Here is an 18,892-nt window from a genome sequence, read left to right as displayed (position 1 = left end):
AGGTCCTTGCTGGCCCTGGGCTGGTGTCTGGGGCAGGGGCGACATTGCCATGAGCTCCCCTCCATGGCCCTGGTGCTCAGGGCTGGCCTGGGGCTCCACCTTGCCTGGCTCATGGCCCTGCCTTGTGGGGGCACCTCCAGGAGTGAATTGCAGGTTCCAGGACTGGCCATCAGGAGTGTCAGGCTTAGTAGTCACCCTGATGTGGGGTGGAACCTGGGGATGTGGCCCTGGGTGGCCCCAAGCAGAGCCTCTTCCCGAAGTGCAGGAACCTGGTGCCCTCAACAAGTGGGTATGGTGGCCATACTGCTGGCCAGGGCCCCGAAGTGGATGCTGCTCCAACCTCTTGCTCTGGGCTCCTGAAGTGCTGCCAAAGCTCCATGCCCCAGGCCTGGCACCCATGTTCCATGTGCAAGCACTGCACCACCCTGGGCCCAGTTCCACCTTGGGGCCCCCTTCTGCCAGACCTCACTGCTCCTCCGCCAGTGGGCAACTCATCCTGGACCCATTGCAGCAGCTTTCAGGGCTTCCAGGGCTCCCAGGGCTCCCAGGGGCAGGCTCAGGGCCTGTCTACCTCTTGTCCATGCCCTTCTTGCAGTGGCAGGGAGCAAGAGTGGTGATGCGGGGTCAGGGTCTGGAGTGGTGGAGGCTCTGGTCCTGGGGGCAGGTCTTGCCTGGCCACACAAAGCTGGGGTTGGTGCAGTTGGCTGCCTTGGGGATGCAGGGCACAGGGGTCTCCCCACTGCCACTGCTGCTCTCACAGTTGCTTCTGCCACCACCGCTTGCACCTCCCCACTATGGCTGGCAAAGTGGCAGTGGCCACTCCAGATGGCCCACCACTGCCATCAATCCCCCCTCTGAAGACGTACATCTAACTGCTGTAAGGATAGGGATGATGACCACTCTTAACTGCTTCATGCTGACATGGGGTGTTGTTTTGAGGAAAACGGCAGTTGGATCTCTCTCAGAGACCTATCTAAGGATCCCTGGTAAAAAGGGAGCTATTGTGTGAGGCTCCAGTTGCATTACCGCTTGGAGTTTGATGGGCCATCCCTCTTGTCTCTTCTCAGCTGCAGTCATAAATCACTGGTTGGTTCACAAGAATATGCTTTACTCAATTGTCAAAAGCTGCAAATAACTCAAAAGAACAGCTTCTTTGACTCTGAAAAGCAAAACAACGGATTAGCAATGTTCTAAGCAAGAGGTCAAAAATATTACTTCAGTCTTCCATTAGTTCAGTCCACCCAGTCAACTCTTGTTCGCAGTCTCTAAAGTTATCAAAAACCTGCCCTTGAGGACTATAATCCATCTTTTGAAGAGGATCAAAATAAGACAATTGTCTGTGAATGTCAAAATGTCCTAGGGTAGTTACAGTCAAAAACACGATTGACAAAGAAATTTAGTCACCTCTGTGGTCTACAATAACCCAACAAAATAACCCTAATTATGATTAATAACACATACTCAGACATCAGAATTTTAGAAATCCCATACTATTTTAGAACACATATTAACATTATTCACTAAAATATAACCTGAAAATTAAACACCACCTTATTTGGACAATCCTGTGTAACTAAACGTGTCTAATAATCCTGTTTACTTCTCCTTTGGATGCTCCAGGGACCCTCTGTAGCATCCAAATTTAAGGGTTAGAAAAGATGATTTCAAAGCTGAAACTTGATATTGGGAAGCCTACCAAATATGTTGAAAGCTTAAAACACTTAATAGAATTTCAGATTACCATAAGTCATCCATTTAGCTAAAATAGATCATTTAAATTTTGAAAAACAAAAACCTTTACTCATTAAGAGAGAAGACCAAGTTTTCCAAGCAATCTAACTTTTGTCCTTCCCTTCTTTTTTTGGAAGTTTATTCACAAGGCAAACAAAAATCTTCCATTACACTAAAATCTTGTTCAAGCAAGAGAAAGCCAAATTTCACCCTTGCATTAGTCAACTATTAATGTCAACCTCATTTTTTGGTAATGAAACCTTACAGAAAAATCCATCCAATCTGAGTTTGACCATGAAGTGAGATTCTTATAAACCTTTTATAACCCTTTATACCTTCCACAATTTGTTCAAACCTTTAACTTGCCAGGAATTCTTTAACCCTCTAAACTTATGCAGAAATTTACATTCCCATGCCTTCTTATAATCTTTTACCAAAACCACATTTTACTCTCCTTACAAACTTTGCATGTAAATCTATTTTCACTAGTCTCCACTATATATTACAAAGTTAACTCTCAGCCATTTTAATTTTGGTTTAAAACCTGGTAAGTTATTTTAATTATGTATTAGGTGTGGATAAGATCTGACTTTTTCCAGCATAGTTAGTGGTGTGGTTAACTCCATATGTCCCCAGGCCTTACCAACTGTAAAGCAGGCAAGTTGAACAGTTTTCAAAAGCCAAAGAAGCAGTTTATGACCTTAAAGCATTTAGCAAGCCTAATATCTGAATTATTTCAGATATGAACTGCATGTCTACATAATTTGGATCACATGTGTACATTTTGAAGACATTTTCATTTTATGAATAATCTTTAAAACTCTTTTTATTTCTCAAAGATTAAAGTCATGTCAACTAAAAGGCATTACAGCTTCTATTTTTTGTTAAGAATATTTGATATAAGCACTTATTTTCCCTCAGCCAATCAATTAGAGCTCTTTTATATAAACATCACACACATAACACATATATAACTACAAAGACAGACAGAAGGAAATCCAGGAATTGTCAGATTTTTCATGTGCTAATCTCTTAATTGGATTACTGGCCTCAGGGTTGAGCCCTTCAAGAAACAGAACTAGGAAAACATGCAGTTTCTAAGGCCTAATAGACAGGCACAGATTTTGAGAGAGATTCCTGGGGTTCTGTGAGGGTAACAGGTTTTTCCCAAAACAGGGTCAGTGGTGCCTCCTCCATTTTCCCAAGGAGTCCCAGGCCATCCGAAGTTATCCTAGGGCCTCTCATGTGTGCAGTAAGAGTGGCAAGACAAAATGGGGGAAAATAATTCAGTCAACTGAGAAGAAAATCCTTTTTTTCCAGAAAAACAAGATCCACAAAGAGACATCAAGTCCTGTTAAATATACCTATAGCTTGGATATCCATTTTAATTAAGCTGACTTTTAACCATAGCTCTCCTTTTTAAGAAGTCCTTTTAAATCTCTTATTACCTAACCTTAGCCGTGCCAAATGGCCAATACTTCTGGCTTTTGAACTCATAGGGAGGCAGAGAATACAGTCATTTTTCACCATTCTTGCAACCACTTTGTACAGAGACAGAGGGAGAGGCCAGAAATCTGACTGGTAGGAACTTTTACCCTTTGCCTGCATGTCAGGCTTCTGGGTTCCCTTCCCCTGAGCCATGGAGTCCTGTGCAGGGGAACAGACAAAGAACAGTTGTCAGGCTTCTGGGTTCCCTTCCCCTGAGCCATGGAGTCCTGTGCAGGGGAACAGACAAAGAACAGTTGTCCCTCCTCAAGAGATTGCCAAGCAGTTTAAGATTTGAGAAAATTAAACTCTCCCCAGGATGCATCTGAGGGGAGTGTCCTGTGGTACAGAGACATGATTAACCATCTGTGAAAAGAGGACAGAGGAAGAAAAGAAAAGTTTTTTTTCCTTTCTCCAGAGTCTGAGGTCCAAAGGAGTTTCCATGATTTAGGATGCACTCATGAGGAGTGCAGTGCAGGCTGAAGATGATTGGTTACTCATCTGGAAAGAGGGGAAAAAGGCATCCCTTTGTTCCTTTTTCTTTCTAACTAACACCCAGGGTACATAAGGGAGGGAAAAGAAGGCATTCCTTTCTTTCTTTTGACCTTATATCCCTGAGTCCCAGTGACCTGTGAAGGTGCCGACCCTGGGGGCAAGAAGACCTTCACCCACGAAATAGGGAAGCATAGCTGGCAGAAATATTCACACTCACCTGGGCGGTGCCGAAGCCTCCCACTGTCAGTAAGCTTTGAGTTTCCTAGATCTTATCTATGTCATGGATGTGAGCATGACCTCCATCCACGGAGTGAGAGGGCCTAATCAACAGCAATAGTCGTGCTCACCTGTGCTGTGCCCCTTGATTCCCACTGTCAGTAACCTTTGGTCTAGTGTTCCATTCCAGGACTTCAAACCAAAGCTTTGGAACAAAAGGTGCCTCAGGAAGGTGTATGGACCCATTAAGTTAGTCCCAGGTGGCCCTCACCAAATTGCAGCTAGGAACTGGAGGGGGCAGCTCCTCTGTTGCTTCCCTATCATAAGCAGGTGGAGCTGTGGGACCAGGTCCTCCTCAAACAAGGGAGAGAAAGGGAGTCCCAAGAATTGGGCACCTGGCCTAATAAGGTTCCTCCCAAAAGGAAAAACAGCTAATCCCTCACATAGAAAAGCTCCATGTATTTACAGGACTATGTTGACTCCGGACATGGTGGAGGAAGGAGACCTGATGCCCCTCATGGTTGTGCCAAGAAAGGAGGGGGTCCTAGATTGGAGAGGAGAACTGAAAGGCCCACTCCAGAGTCCAGGAGGAGGTCCACCCTCTTTCCTTTGACCCCTAGAATCACCTGGGGCTCCTGGGTGGCACTGGCCTTCTGAACTACCAGAGCTGGGGAGAGGAACCCTGGGACCCATCAGTACTACTGCACCATTTGGAATACTGGCCCTGGACCCAGTGACCCACATCTCTGGGGACAGTTCGCTTTCCAATGGTCCTCACTGCAAACTTGACAGGGTCAAAGTGGCTTCCCCCTGCTGTCCTAAAGTGCCCTAGGCTACCATATTTGCAGCAGTCAGCAGGTGCATCTCAGGGACTCTGGAGTCCATGAGCCCACAAGACCGCTCTTAGAACCTCTGCCTTTTTCCTGTAACTCTCCTCTCTTTTCTGGACTTCCTCCCAATTCCTACTGCAAAAGATGGAGGTGGCCACTCCCAGGAGGCCCTCAAAAGTACCATCTGGTCCCGCAGCCCATTTCTGCAGCCCCCTCCTGACTTCAGGGGCCACCTGTGTAATAAATTCATCCCCTGGGACCAGCTGTCCCTCTACTAAATTGGGAGATAGAGAGGTGTATTTTACCAAGCCCCTTCTTAGCCTTCCCATGATGGCAGTGGGATTCTCATCTAATCCCTGGATATCCACCACGGATAGCTTGGTGTAATTGAGAGGCTTAGTCCTAGTCCTTCATAAGCTCTCCAGTATCCACATCTGAAAATGTTTCCTCTTCCACTCTCCTATTTCATCATTGGGGTCCCATTTAGAGTCCTCCAATGATATTGCTATTCTTCCAATCAGATAAGACTCATTCCCTTCCCTGGCCCAATATGAGATAGAAAGCTCATCCCCCAAATTGCCTGCTGCTTGCAGGGTGGCCTGCTTTTCAACGGTAGTCAGGGTTTGATTTAAAAGTAATATGACATCCTTCCAGAAGAGTTCAAATACTTGGAAAGTCTCTATATACCTGTCAGGGCCTTCTGAATACTTGTCAAGATCCCTTTTAATTTGCCCTAAGTCCTGAAAAGAAAAGGGGACCTGGAACTTAATGGGGCCATATTCACCAGGCATGTGTTATGGGGACAGTTGAGATTGGATCTTGCCTAAAACCAAAATTTCTAGGCTAAGTCAAGATTGAGAGACAACCCAGATAGGGAGGAGCAAAGGGAATTGATTCCCCTGTGGGAGGTACCTCTGAGGTTTGCTTTCCTAGTTCCCTGGGATTGACCCTTCCAGCCTCTCCCAAGGTGGCCACTAGGAGAGTTGAATCAATACTACAATGTTGGCCAAGGTCCAGATTATCCTGCAAAGCAAAGAAGGCCTGCATATATGGGACCTCAGAACATTTGTCCCTGTGTTTACAGAAAAGGACCAGCTGTAGGATGGTATTGAAATTAATGCTTCCCTCGTGAGGCCATACTTCTTTTCTGTGTCTCGGGTGCTTGGCACTAAGTTGGCAATGAAGGAAATGACAAGAACATTTCTGCCACAAATTTACGTACAGATACTAAGGCACATTTTGTTTCATCTGTGCTAATCTTAGCCTTCAATTTTATACGTTTGACCACTAAGCCAAATGCTCATTCTACCCAGTAATATTATCTCTGTGGTTTGCAACATGCTTAACATTTAACATTGTACATAAAGAAGAGATACGAACTATGACAATCATGAAAGAAAAAACAATAGAAAAGACTGGACACCTTAACAGGTGGTCAGGGACCAGGTCCATGGGCCTTTGGATAACACAGGTGTAGCCTCGGCCAGATACCCTCAGTTGACCCAGGACCTCCTTCCGGTCCCACCTGAGGGCTAGACCGCCATGAAGGGAAACTGGATTGGAACAAAGCCAACATTCCCAACATCTGAGGATGATGGGGGATTGACAGCATCCTCCCCAGCAAGCCTGTCCTCCGTGTTGTAAGTCTGGCAGCCACACTAGGCACTTTTAACTGACTGAGACCCAGTATTTTTCTTTCATCTTCATTATTGTGGCATTTAGGGACTCCAAGAAAGGATGGAAAGAACAGATCCATTTTTACTCACCCTTCTGCGGATTCCAGACAAGCCCCCCAAATGTTACAAGATCTTGGGGGTGTTGCTATTCTGGCAGGAATCTTTTGTGCCCCTGCTGCAGCAGGGCGGACAGCTCCAGGTGCTGGCATGGGCGCCAGGCTCAAATGGGCACCTTGGCTAGCACCAAGGGGCACCTGCAGACCAGTGGCAAGCTGCCCTCAGCCCTAGTCTCGGCCTTCCCCCCACCAAGTTCGTTGGGGCCCAAAGGCCACAGGGTGCTGAGGTGGTAGGGGACTGGAGTGTCAGTGCTGCCCCAAGCGTGCGAAAACAGTGCCCAGGCTCAGCCCCAACTTTGTGGGCACTGGGATGGGGAGAGGCCAGGCAACGAGGGCAGACACCCCCAAGCCTGTGGAGGAAGGGAGATCTTCCCAGGCCCGGGAGAGGCCAGGCAACGAGGGCAGACACCCCCAAGCCTGTGGAGGAAGGGAGATCTTCCCAGGCCCCCGAGGGTGCGGAGTGAAGAGACTTCTGGCTCAGAAGCCCCGGCAGGTCAGCTGCAGTTGCACGAGATGGGGAGGTGGCTCCCACCCCACCAACTCAGAAGGGACAGGGTTCCTGCTTGTCCCTGGCTTCCACCAGCTCTGTGGATCGTCTAGCCTGGGTCGCGCCTCCTCGCAGCCTGGGCCGGGGCTCCAGGTTCTTGCTGGGCCTGGGCTGGTGTCCAGGGCAGGGGTAATGTCGCCGTGAGCCCCTCCAGTGGCCCCAGTGCTCAGGGATTGCCCGTGGTTCCCCCTTAAGTGGCCCTGCCTGCGGGGACGCCTCTGGGAGTGGATCGCTGGTTCCCAGGCCTGGCCGTTGGGAGTGTCAGGCTTGGCGGTCCCCCTGATGCACAGTTGACCCCAGGGACACTGCCCCTGGTGGCCCCACTTACAGCCTCCTCCCTAGGTTCAGGAACCTAGGGCCCTCGGTGGGGTGGGCGGGGCAGCCGCACTGCTGGCTGAGTCCCCGAAGCCGGCACCACTCCCATTTCCTGCCCTGGGCCCCTGAACCACGACCCCAGCCCTAGGCCCCTGGCCCAGCGCCCAGGCCCCATGTGCAAGCGTGGCACCGCCCCGGTCGCAGCTCCACCTTGGGGCCCCTCTCTGCCCGAGTTCTCTGCTTCCCCTCCAACTCGACTCGGACCCATTGCAGCAGCCCCCAGGGCGACGGGCTCTGGGGAGCTCCAAAGGGTCCGCTCGGGGACTGTCTGCCTCCTCCGCACAGCCTCCCTGCAGTGGCAAAAGGCGAGAAAGGCGACACGGGGCCAGGGTCCGGAGCTGTGTAGGCTCCAGGCCTAGGGTGGGTCTTGCCCAGCCATGCAAGGGTGAGGGCAGTGCAGTCGGCTGCCTTGGGGACGCGGCACAGGAGACATGAGGTACAAGGGTCCCCCTGCTGCCACGGCTGCTCCCGCAGCTGCCCCTGCCACCACTGCTGGCACCTCCCCACTGCAGCCGGTGCAGTAGTAGCAGCAGCAACCGCCCCAGACCGCCTGCCGCTGCCATCAGTCACATGGTGAAGAGAGGATCATCTCTTTCTCTCTCTCCTTCTTATAAAGCCACAATGCCATCATGAGGGACCTAGCCTCATGACCTCATTCTATCCCACCTTCCAAAGGTCCCATCCCCAAATTTCATCACACTGGAGGTCAGGGCTTCAACATATGAATTTGAGGGAAAGGCACTGCCTTAGGCCATCAAGTCACCACAGGTTTCAAGTCCTCCCAGCAGGGGCCCTAGACCTTGGAGCAGAATGAAACCATTTCCACTATTCCCCTTCCATATTCTTTACCCACAGAATTTGTGAACATAAAGAAGTGGTTATTTTAAACTGCCATATTTTAGTGTAACTTGTTGTACAGCACTGTGTGATCAGAATAGGTGGATATATGTGTGTATGTAGGTGTGGATGAGTCTATGTTTTCAGAGCGACTCAAAAGATATTGTTTGGAAGTAAAGACCAGAAAATGAGCAGAAAGGATAAAGTGGTCTAGCTTTGCCTCATCCTGAGAAAGGCGAGTTGGTGATTTCATAGTAGTCATAGCAAACCAGTCTTTGTGAAAGATACAGGTTGAATATTACGATTGCTTTGTCAAAGTCATAGGCAGAAGGAGATTAAAGTTGGGGGTGAGGAGGGAAGGGAGGCAGATTTTATACTGTGGGTAGGGTATAGCTTTCCTTTAAAAGTGATGTGTTTCCATCATCAATCATCCCTGAGCCTGGAGAAGTTAATGAACTCATGGATTGGGTGGTGAGTAAGGAGATGTGATCAAAAATATATTCTCAGTACAGATAAAAATAGCAGGCCATAGGTTAAAAGGAAAGACAGCCAGAGTTAGCAGGAAACCTCCTTCAAGGGGCATGGCACGCAGATAATTAGTATCTAGGAAATCAGATTCTAATCACTCTACGAATTAAATCCTCTCAGTGCCTTTCACAGTGAGAGAGAGCCTGACTAGACAGATATTTTCTCCAGCAACTGGGCTCTCATTAGACAGGGTCCTGGGAACAATCAGGTGAAGTCTCAGCCTTTATCAAGATTTCAATGAGACTGAATGGGCAGAAGGTCTATATATGGAGAGAAAGGCTTTTAGCAAGAAGGAGGAAAGAGGCATTGAGGAATGTTGGAAGGTAGGCTCAATCTTTGCAAAAACTTGCTAGTTTGTGTCTAAATGGGTAGTCAAATTAGGAGGTGTCTCATGCCACCCTTTGTCCCTTTTCTCTGAAAGTTTTTCCCAGTCCAAAGAAATTGGGCCCCTGTAGCCATATTTGTACTCTGTGATAATCAGAGTACATGTGGGCAACTCACATGAGCTGGATCAATCAGATTCATTCTCTCTGGAATTTAGGTAGTGGCACTGAAGCTGGAGGGTGATGAAGCCAGAGGGTGGGAGAAGCCACTTTATGACATTAGTCTCAATACTTACAAGGAAAAAAAAGGATACACATAGTTGAAGGGGAAAAAGAGATAGATACATTGTAATCTGTTCCCACGGAGCTGGATAGAGTGGCTTCCTGGGCTCCTGATGGTTTTTTGTTTGTTTGTTTTTGCTTTTTTTTTTTTTTTTTTTGGTTTTCTAACAAGTAGCTGGTTATGCCCTTATGAGAGCTGGTTGATTGCCATATTCCTCAATCCTGTGAAATTATCCACGGGTCCTTGAAATAGAATACTTTTTGCTAGTCTGAATAGGTTTATACATCTTGCAACTTAATGAAGCTTATTTAAGACAACATTTATGACAGACGATGGGCCAGGATTTACTCCCAAATCTCACTTGCTTACTTAGAAGTTTCCATTCTTACTAACGACACCTTTATGTGATCCTCACATGATATGCTCACCAATGTATAATCCCAATAAATACTAGGAGCCTATGTAGTCTAGTCTTTGCATAATTTGGCAGTCGTAGAAACTAGAGTTCAAATCCTCAAAACTCAATAATGTTTGCTAAAACAGAAACCAGTGAAGTTTATTTAGACAACATGGTAATGGGTTGGGTGTTCACACTGATTTTAATTGGAAATCTTCCTTTAAAAATTGGTTAGTTTCCCTCTATATCCATAGTTTCTCAGTTATGGCATACTCTAAAATGTCTCCAACTCATTGGCCCTACATATCTCTACCCATCATCATTTTCCACTGCTGCTGTCTTCCACTTCACCTCCAAAACAGAAGTCACCTCATGAAGCCACATCAGGTGTTTCTAAGGCAGCACCAAGATCTCCCAGCTGGGTATACCCCTTTCTTCCTTGCTGTCCACAGAGGCATCTATAAAGTATAATTCTTTTTCACATCTCTTAAGGTTGGGAGATTGAGGGGCTATTGACACTGGGAAAATGGGGATGAAATGTGAGGCCTTATCAGCAGATCATCATCCAGCATGAAGAGTGATGGTGAGACCTCTTGCTGCCTATGCAAGCATGCAGTGGACAGAGAAAACTAAACATGAATCCAAGTGTCAGAATGAGCAATCTGCCTCATTTTAAATTCTTGGAAGCTTTCAGTTAAATGAGACTCCCTCAAACACTGATAAATTCAGATTGAGAAAAACAAAGTTTTGTATTTGATTAGCAGATTGCATTTCTCTGCTATGGGCAACAAATATCTGCTGTATTTCAGTGAACTATAGGGGGAGCATATCACAGTATATCTGCCTTCCAGTGTATATTTTGTAAGACGACTGTGTGATGGTTAACTTTATGTGTCAAGTTGACTGGGCCACGGGGATCTCAGACTTTTGGCCAAACATTATTCTGGGTATGTCTATATTTCTGGATGAGATTAATATTTGAATCAGACTGTATAAAGAATATTGCCCTCCCTAGTGTGGGGGTGGGGTGCTCATCCAAGCAATTAGAGACCTAGGTAGAACAGAAAGGCTGAGTAAAAGGGAAATCCTCCTGCCTGACTTCTTGAGCTGGAACATTGGTCTTCTGCTGCCCTCAGACTGGGACTTACACCATTGGTTCTTCTGGTTCTCAGGTCTTCAGACTAAGACTGGATATACACATTGGCTTTCCTGGGTCTTCAGCTTCCAAGCTGTAGATCTTGGGAATTCTCAAACTACATAATTCTTTGAGCCAATCTCTCTCTCTCTCTCTCTCTCTCTCTGTCTCTCTCTCGCTCTCTCTCTCATTCTCTGTATGTGTGTGTGTGTGTGTGTGTGTACAGAGGATTCTTGACTTATAATGGTTCAACTTACAATTTTTTTGACATTGTGATACATTTATCGGGATGTAACCCCATCCTAAGTTGCGGAGTACATATATGTATATATTGGTTCTATTTCTCTGGAGGACCCTAACAAGTACAGACTGAGAGAGTGGCTTTGTGAAGGTCCAGAAGCCAAGACAAGCAAATTGATGGAGTATAGAAACTGAAAGCATAGGTGTTGCATGCAGCTTGGCCTGTGTTAGAACCCGGCTCTGTCATTTAATATCTCTGAGTCTTAATTTGCTCCTTTGGAAAATGGAAAAAATAATAGTGCCTGAACCAAAGGGTAATTGTGAACCTTAAGTAGGATTAATATGGGCGTTTGCTTTGTCAGTTGCTCAGCACCTGACTCTTGGCAAGTGCTTGATGAATGATCAATATTATTATTACTATTGTTGTTATTATTACTAAGTCTTCTTAAGAAGAGTCATGGGCTCTCAGAGAACCTTTGCTTTCTTCTCCTACTTACTTGAAATTGCTAGGAACATTCATCCTCCATCTCTGGGTTGTAGGTGAAATCCTCATAGTGCTCACCTCTCTCCATCTCCTGGACCATAGATCTGGTGTCCCAGAAGCCCCAGGAATTGAGGTGCTGGTTGTTCTTTCAACAAAACCACCTCCCCAGTCTCTCTTCATGGATTCCCCAACTCACAAGCTTTTGGAAGCGTACACTTACCTCATCCCTGCCTTTCTTTGTTTTTCCCAAAGACTATTGTCAGGATCTTGGTTTTAAAATTATTTTAATATTTGATTCTAGGAAGAGTAGATAACATCAAAAACATGAGATATGGGTAGCTGATAACTTTGGCAGTGCTTACGTTGTTCTCACAGCTATGATCTAAGGTCTGTAGATGCCACACACAGGTGAAACAACGTGGTATTTATAATGCATCTGGGTTAGTGCCTGGCACATGGCAAATGCTTAATAAATGGTGGTTCCCCTCTGACCCTGACAGTTCCAAGGTTTGGGGTGACTTGTGGATGATTCTAATGTCCCAACCCCACACACAAGTCTTCCTGTATGGAGGTCTTCTTCTAGGGTATAAGAAGGTGCCACGGCCTTTCATTTCCTTCTCAAGCTCCAGTTTTATGCTTGACTTTGTCTATCTGTGGGAATATTTATAAGTTTTCCTCTTTACTTCCTTCTCTTCTTTTCTTCCTGTCTTCCATTACTTTTCTTTATCAGTTTCTTTTACTATTTTTATTTTTACAATTTTTTTCTCTCCCTTTCTCCCTCTCTTTCTCCCTCTCTTTCTTTCTTGTGTTCTTTTGCTCTTTCTTCTTTCTCTTTCTCTCTTTATTTCTTTCCTTTCTGCTCTTTATTTTTCTGATTCTCCCTTCAATTATTTTTCTTCTATCTTTTCTCCCCCTTTCATCTCCTCTTTCCTTTCTTCCTCCTTCCCTTGCTTCCTCTCTCCTTCTTTCCCTACTTTATTTCTTTTTCAATTGCTTTCCCTTGCAGTTTTAATATTTCCCTGACTTACTTTTCTTTCCTTTTTTTCTGTTACCCTCTCCTTTTCACTCTCTCTCATTCCTTCCCTTTCTTCTTTCAACATCTAACATGGTAAAGTTTTGTGCTAATAACCAAGGCAAGACAAAACTTATATTCATGTTCTTCCATAAAGAATCTCATATAATCATAGGAAGGCCAAGGGCCCAAAGGGAAAAGAAAGAGAAAGAAGAGGGGAATCCAAATGAATGTCTCTTAGATGTCTCACTGCGCACGGGCTTTTCCGGACATCTTCCACTCCTTGTCTCGAAGCTTGGCTCGTTGAATTTTCCCTGTGACAGTCTTGGGCAGGTTCAAGACAAACTCTATCTGTTGAAAAACAAATCAGTCCAGGGTGGGTGATCTGTGACGACAGTGGGTTGCATTTTTCAGAACTGCTGTAGGGTGAGGGGAAGTTCTTCAGGCTGGAGCCACTTCAGGGCAGCTGCCCTGTGCAATAAGAAGCTTCAGAAAGTGCTCTGGGATGAGGACAATAAGAGGATGGCTAGAATTGGGCATAAAGGTCTTTGACATATTCTCAGACAGAGAAGGAACAGCATAACAGACACAACATGGCACAGCAGTCAGCCAGCTGAGCCTTGACATCAGTCTCTCTGGACCCCAGCTCCTCCTCTACCAATCATCTGGCTTTAGCCAGGTCCTTGGCTTTGCTAAGACTCAGTTTTCCCACTGAGTAAGATGGAGGATAATAGTAACTTCATTGGGTGATTACATGGACAAAAGGAGATTATGAAGGCTAAGTTACTGGCATGGAGTAACCACTGAAAAATATTAGCTGTGGTTATTAATCTGGGTTAATCTGAGGTCTTTAGACATCTAAGAATTAGGATACCTCATTTTGAATTCCACATCAATCATTTCCTATCAATGTACCCTAAGCAAAACTATAAAATCTCTCCAATTTCACTATTTGATCTTGTTAAAAGGAATGTTTGAAGTTGAGGATCCTCTATCTCTTATATTCCCAAATCCAAAGATATGGATGGTGAAGATGCCTCATTGAGGCTTCCAGTGATATGGCTCAGTTGCCATGCCATTGGTTTAAGTGTTAGATGGTCTTGAATTAATAAAAATTAACCCTTTATTAACTTTAATTTAATAATAGGGATACTGAGATGGAAAAAGTATCTTCTTAGTGGCTGATATAAGAATTCTTCTATAAGTCAAGACTGACTTTGTTGAGAAGAGTTTGTTCAAAACACAATGAAATGGAGGAGAGGTCAGCAAACTATGGCCTGCAGGCAAAATACAGCCCACTTCCTGTTTTTATCAATAAAGTTTCATTGAAACACTCATACCCATGCATTTAGAAACTGTCAACCTTTAGCATTGCATGGGCAAAGTTGAGTAGTTGCAACAAAGACCACATAGCCTAAAATATTTACTATTTGGGCCCCGAAGGGTAGATAGAGAGTGGATGAAAGCCACAGGAGGTATCCAGATTTAATGCTAAGAAGGAAGCTACTCTGCTTGTCATGAAGAGAGAAGTAGAAAGGACTGGATGTAGTTGGTGGAAGGAGGGGGAAGGTGCAAATAATCCGCTGCCTTGAGAATTCTAGAGGAGAGACTTGCAGAAAGAGACACATCTATTGAGATATTTGAGTAAGACACTGCACACTGTGTGGTAGGACTCCTTGACTCAGCCTTCTACAATATTCAGTTATACTTAAACATTCGTAATATCTTTGGTGTGCCTGGATTTCTAAACTCCTTTGTAAATACTTATTAAATGTTTATTATGTGCCAGTCACTCTTCTAAGTGTCTGATGCCTTCTTAAATGAACTCATCCTTAACAATCTGTGAAGGGGTAACAGCATTATTCTCATTTTGCAAATAAGGAAACTGAGGATCACAGAGGTTATTGAGTAACTGGTGGAGGTGAACGTTGAACCCAACAGTCTGATTCCTGAGACTGTGCTATGCTGCCTCATTCTCAGAGGCTGCAAGTCCATGTGGTGGACTCTGATATGCAGCTGAGATCCTCCTCCAGGGACAAAGAAGTCCCACCCCACTGCCAGACCAATATGAGGATTGCCTCAGCCAGAGACAGCTGTCTTGTCCAAGGTCACACTCCTTCCCAGGGCAGCCTACACATCTATACCTGATCCACCTGTGACTGTAAAGACCCCCTTCCCTTCCTCACCTTGCCTTAGGACAACACTGAAAGGTTATACTAGCTCCAGAACTCCCATGGGATTGGCTGGAGTTCCCATTGAGACTAAGTCACAGTGCAACCTCACCGTCTGCTCAGTTCTGCTCCTTTCTTTCCCTTCCTCTCCCTTCCCCCAGGGGTTGATTCCAAAACACTCCCTAATAAGCCTCTTGCGTGGTAACCTCTTTCCCCATGGCCTGCTTCTCAGAAGACCTATGACAATTAGCCTGTGCTGAGGAAAGGCAGGTGGCATCTGGGCTACATAAGAATCTAAGGGACTCTAAGCTCAGCATAGTTGCTCTCACCTTCTACCCTAGACTCAATTTTTTTTCTTTCTCTGGGACAAGCTCCTATCTGGGACCCAAATCCAATAACTGGGTTCTCCTGCCTTGTCAACCTCTGTGCCTCAGTTCTCTGTCCCAGAATGAAAGAAGCTGAAAACTATGCTTTTGTCTTTTCTCGTAAGAACACTTCCCTTTTCCTGTGGGGAGCCACCCCTCCCTCTCAGTCCATGTCATGGGGTAGGGCAGCTCTCTCCCCCATCCCCCCTGCACTTTCTCTGAGGATGACTTGGCTAATCAGTGTGACATTGGCCTGGCTACAGGGATTCATTTAGCAATGGACACATGGCCCAAGTTGGTCCAGTGAGAGTCAACCCAGAGAATTTTGTTGAGGCCTTTGGAGAAAAACATGCTCATTTTCTACTGGAGTTTTCTAAGCTGCTGAGAATATATGTTTGGAGCTGATAGAGCCACAAAGAAAAAGCATTCCAAGAAATCAAACCACTACAAAGGAAAGAGAGTCAAAGGGTGAAAGAGAGACACCTGACCACATCCTAGGAATGCCTGGGACTAGCCATAATGAAAGCTTTCCCCACCCCTGGACTTTTCAATTGCATGAGCAATAAATGTCAAGCTAGATTTCTGTCACTTGCAACTGAGCGTTGCACAACCCTGAATACTATAGCAAGAACCCAGTGCAGAGAATGGGAATACAGGTAAGATACTGGCTAGAACTTATTCCCTTGATAGCATTTGGCTTTTAATTCAGAGTGAGTCAAAAGCTGAGGTCATTTTTCAGGCATCAAGCTAGATTGTCTTTCTGGGCTTTCTTGATCATAGAAAGACTTTTTTTTTTTTTTTTTTTTTTTTTTTTTTTTTGAGACAGAGTCTCACTCTGTCACCTGGGCTGCAGTGCAGTGGCACAATCTCGGCTCACTGTAACCTCCACCTCCCAGATTCAAGTGATTCTCATGCCTCAGCCTCCTGAGTAGCTGGGATTACAGGCACATGCCACTACACCGGGCTAATTTTTGCATTTTGGGTAGAGATGGGGTTTCACCATGTTGGCCAGGCTGATCTTGAACTCCTGACCTCAGGTGATCCACCCGCCTCAGCCTCCCAAAGTGCTGGGATTACAGGCGTGAGCTGCCGCGCCCAGCCAGGAAGACTTTTTAAAATTAGAGGACTGTCCTCCTCCTGAAGAAGATAAATATAACAGGAAAACAATCTATTTCTCAAGTTTGAGTGACTTGGGAGCTCAAAGGCCTTACCTTTCTTGGGTACTTGTATGGGGCTGTCACTGACTTCACATGCTGCTGCAGCTCCTTGGTGAGCTGTTCTGGGTCATGGGACAGGAACTGCGAGGCCAGGACCACAAATGCCTTCACCACCTGCAAAAAAGATGAAGGCCAGAGAGAAGGGATTAGAGTGTGTAGTCATCTCCTGGAATAATGTGAAATTGGCATTAAGACTTCCATCACCCTTGTATCTCCTCATTTGCACCCCCGGTGATCCAGGTCAAGGGAAAAGGAGAAAACTGGGGACATGAATGAGGTTACAGCTCTCTCTGAAGTCATTTATTGGAGGAGCAGGTGGACAAAAGATTGAGACTAGGCTCACCTCATACTCCAATAACAATAGAGACAGATAAGGAGAAAGAAGATACAGGGGGAGAAAAGAGAAAAATAGACTGAAAACCATAACCCTAAACAATGTGTTAACTTCTCCAAACTTCAGTGTTCCCATCTGTAAAGTGGGGATAAAATTGCCAAATTTAACTTACGGTAAATAAAATGAAATCATATACAGCAGGGCTAGCTCAGAGCTGGGCACACAGGATTTTCTCAGCAGGGGATCCCCCATGGCCTCACTGCTCAGTGGTTCCCATAATTTTCTGTATGATGTATTCTGTACGTACCAGAGGTATGATAGTGCCAGGCTTACACCCTGCGGGAATGTGCTAGGACACTGATCCACACATCCCACCTTAATATTTTCCTACACACACATCAAAGTCCACTAGACCCCATCTGAGCCTATTTCTATAAGCCTGGCTTTATAGGGGTCTTTCTTTTTCCCTTTATTTTCACTGCGAACTCTGTGGCACACGGGCTCTGTCCTTTGGCTCAAATCCCTCCTCTGTTCTTCTGGTCGGGAATCAGACTCTGATTCAAATACCAAACAGCAGGATAGAATCCTTCCAGCCTCATCAAAATAGACATTATATAGTACTTACTATGTGCTAGGCCTTGTTCCAAGCACTTCACTTTCTTTTTTTCTTTTTTTTTCTTTCTTTTTTTTTTTTTTTTTTTTTGAGACAGAGTCTCACTCTGTCACCCAGGCTAGAGTGCAGGGGCACGATCTCGGCTCACTGCAAACTCCGCCCCCCGGGTTCATGTGATTCTCCTGCCGCAGCCTCTTGAGTAGCTGGGATTACAGATGCCTGCCACCATGCCTGGCCAATTTTTGTATTTTTAGTAGAGATGGGGTTTCACCATCTTGGCCAGGCTGGTCTTGGACTCCTGACCTCGTGATCCATCTGCCTCGGCCTCCCAACCAAGCACTTTACTTTATAAAAGTTTTTATCATTTCATAATATTTGTACATATGTATTGGGTACAAGTGACATTTTGTTACACGCAAATATGGTAATTATCAAGTTAGGATACTTGGGGTGTCCATCACCTTGAGTATTTATAATTTGTGTGTGTTGAGAACATTTCAAGTCCTCTCTTCTAGCTATTTTGAAATATACAATACATGGTTGTTAACTATAGTCACCCTACTCTGCTATTGAACATTCGAACTTATTGCTGCTAACTGTATGCTTCTACCCATTCACCAACCTCCCTTCATCCCCCACTTCCCCACCCACACACCCTTCCCAGCCTCTGGTATCTATCACTCTACTCTTTATCTCCATGAGATCAGCTATTTTAGCACTTACTCATGAGTGCAAACACGTGATATTTATTTTCTGTGCCTGGCTTACTTCAGTTAACATAATGACCTCCAGTTCTCTCCATGTTGCTGCAGATGACATGATTTCATTCTTTTTTAACACCAAATAGTATTCCATTGTGTATATATACCACATATTATTTATCCTTTCATCCACTGGATACTTAGGTTGATCCCATATCTTCGTATTGTGAATAGTGCTGCAATTACCATGGGAGTGTGGACATCTTCTTGATATGCTGATTTCTTTTCCTTTGGATAAATACCCAGTAGTGGGATTGCTGGATCGTATGGTAGTTCTGTTTAGTTTTTTTAGAAATCACCATACTTAAGTACTTTACAAATATTAGCACATTTAACCCTCATAACAATCCCTCATCTTACAGATGGGGAAACTGAGAAACAGAGAGGCCAAGTAGCTTGCCCAAGGTCACATAGCTAGTAAGTGGCAGGGCCAAGATTGGGTCTCAGAGTGTTCAGCCCCACAGTCCCTGTTCTTAAACCATCATACTACACTGCCCTTGTGTTCATATGTGTTCACCCCCAGGCTACTGCTTCCCCATCACCTCTCCTCGGACGGGGTCTGGGCTGCTGATCACAGCCGTCTCAACCACAGCAGGGTGCTCCATCAGTGCATTCTCTACCTCCGAGGGTCCAATCCGGTACCTGCAGAAGAACCTGTCCTTCAGAGAACACTGGACACCGAACCTCTAGGCCATTCCAGAAGTCTGGAACCAGCCAGAGT

General features: G+C 45.5%; 1 protein-coding gene across 7 annotated transcripts in view, besides 1 other annotated feature; it reads right to left on the bottom strand.

Annotated features, from left to right (window-relative positions):
- Positions 7,254 to 7,754: an enhancer, noted in NCBI's record as "H3K27ac-H3K4me1 hESC enhancer chr16:20503203-20503703 (GRCh37/hg19 assembly coordinates)". NCBI's record gives its function as "activates a minimal SCP1, AML or CMV promoter by ChIP-STARR-seq in naive H9 embryonic stem cells {active_cell/tissue: H9 hESC(naive)}" and the evidence as "EXISTENCE:reporter gene assay evidence [ECO:0000049][PMID:30033119]".
- The window catches only part of ACSM2A (acyl-CoA synthetase medium chain family member 2A), a 36,149-nt gene continuing 29,222 nt past the window's right edge, over positions 11,966 to 18,892 (bottom strand). For 6 of the 7 annotated variants that reach the window (NM_001308954.2, XM_017022923.2, XM_047433591.1 and 3 more), the window contains 3 exons: positions 18,714 to 18,813; positions 16,458 to 16,577; positions 11,966 to 13,061 (listed from right to left, as the gene is read on the bottom strand). In NM_001308954.2, coding sequence (NP_001295883.1) covers positions 12,957 to 13,061; positions 16,458 to 16,577; positions 18,714 to 18,813 — 325 coding nt within the window. In that variant the 3' untranslated portion in view covers positions 11,966 to 12,956. Of the gene's footprint in view, positions 13,062 to 16,457; positions 16,578 to 18,530; positions 18,814 to 18,892 lie in introns of those variants that run through there. The other variant, XM_017022925.2, reaches the window with a different exon arrangement.

Source organism: Homo sapiens, chromosome 16 (genome assembly GCF_000001405.40).
Source record: "Homo sapiens chromosome 16, GRCh38.p14 Primary Assembly".
Taxonomy (NCBI): Eukaryota; Metazoa; Chordata; class Mammalia; order Primates; family Hominidae; genus Homo; species Homo sapiens.
This window is presented reverse-complemented; position numbering and strand designations above follow the sequence as displayed.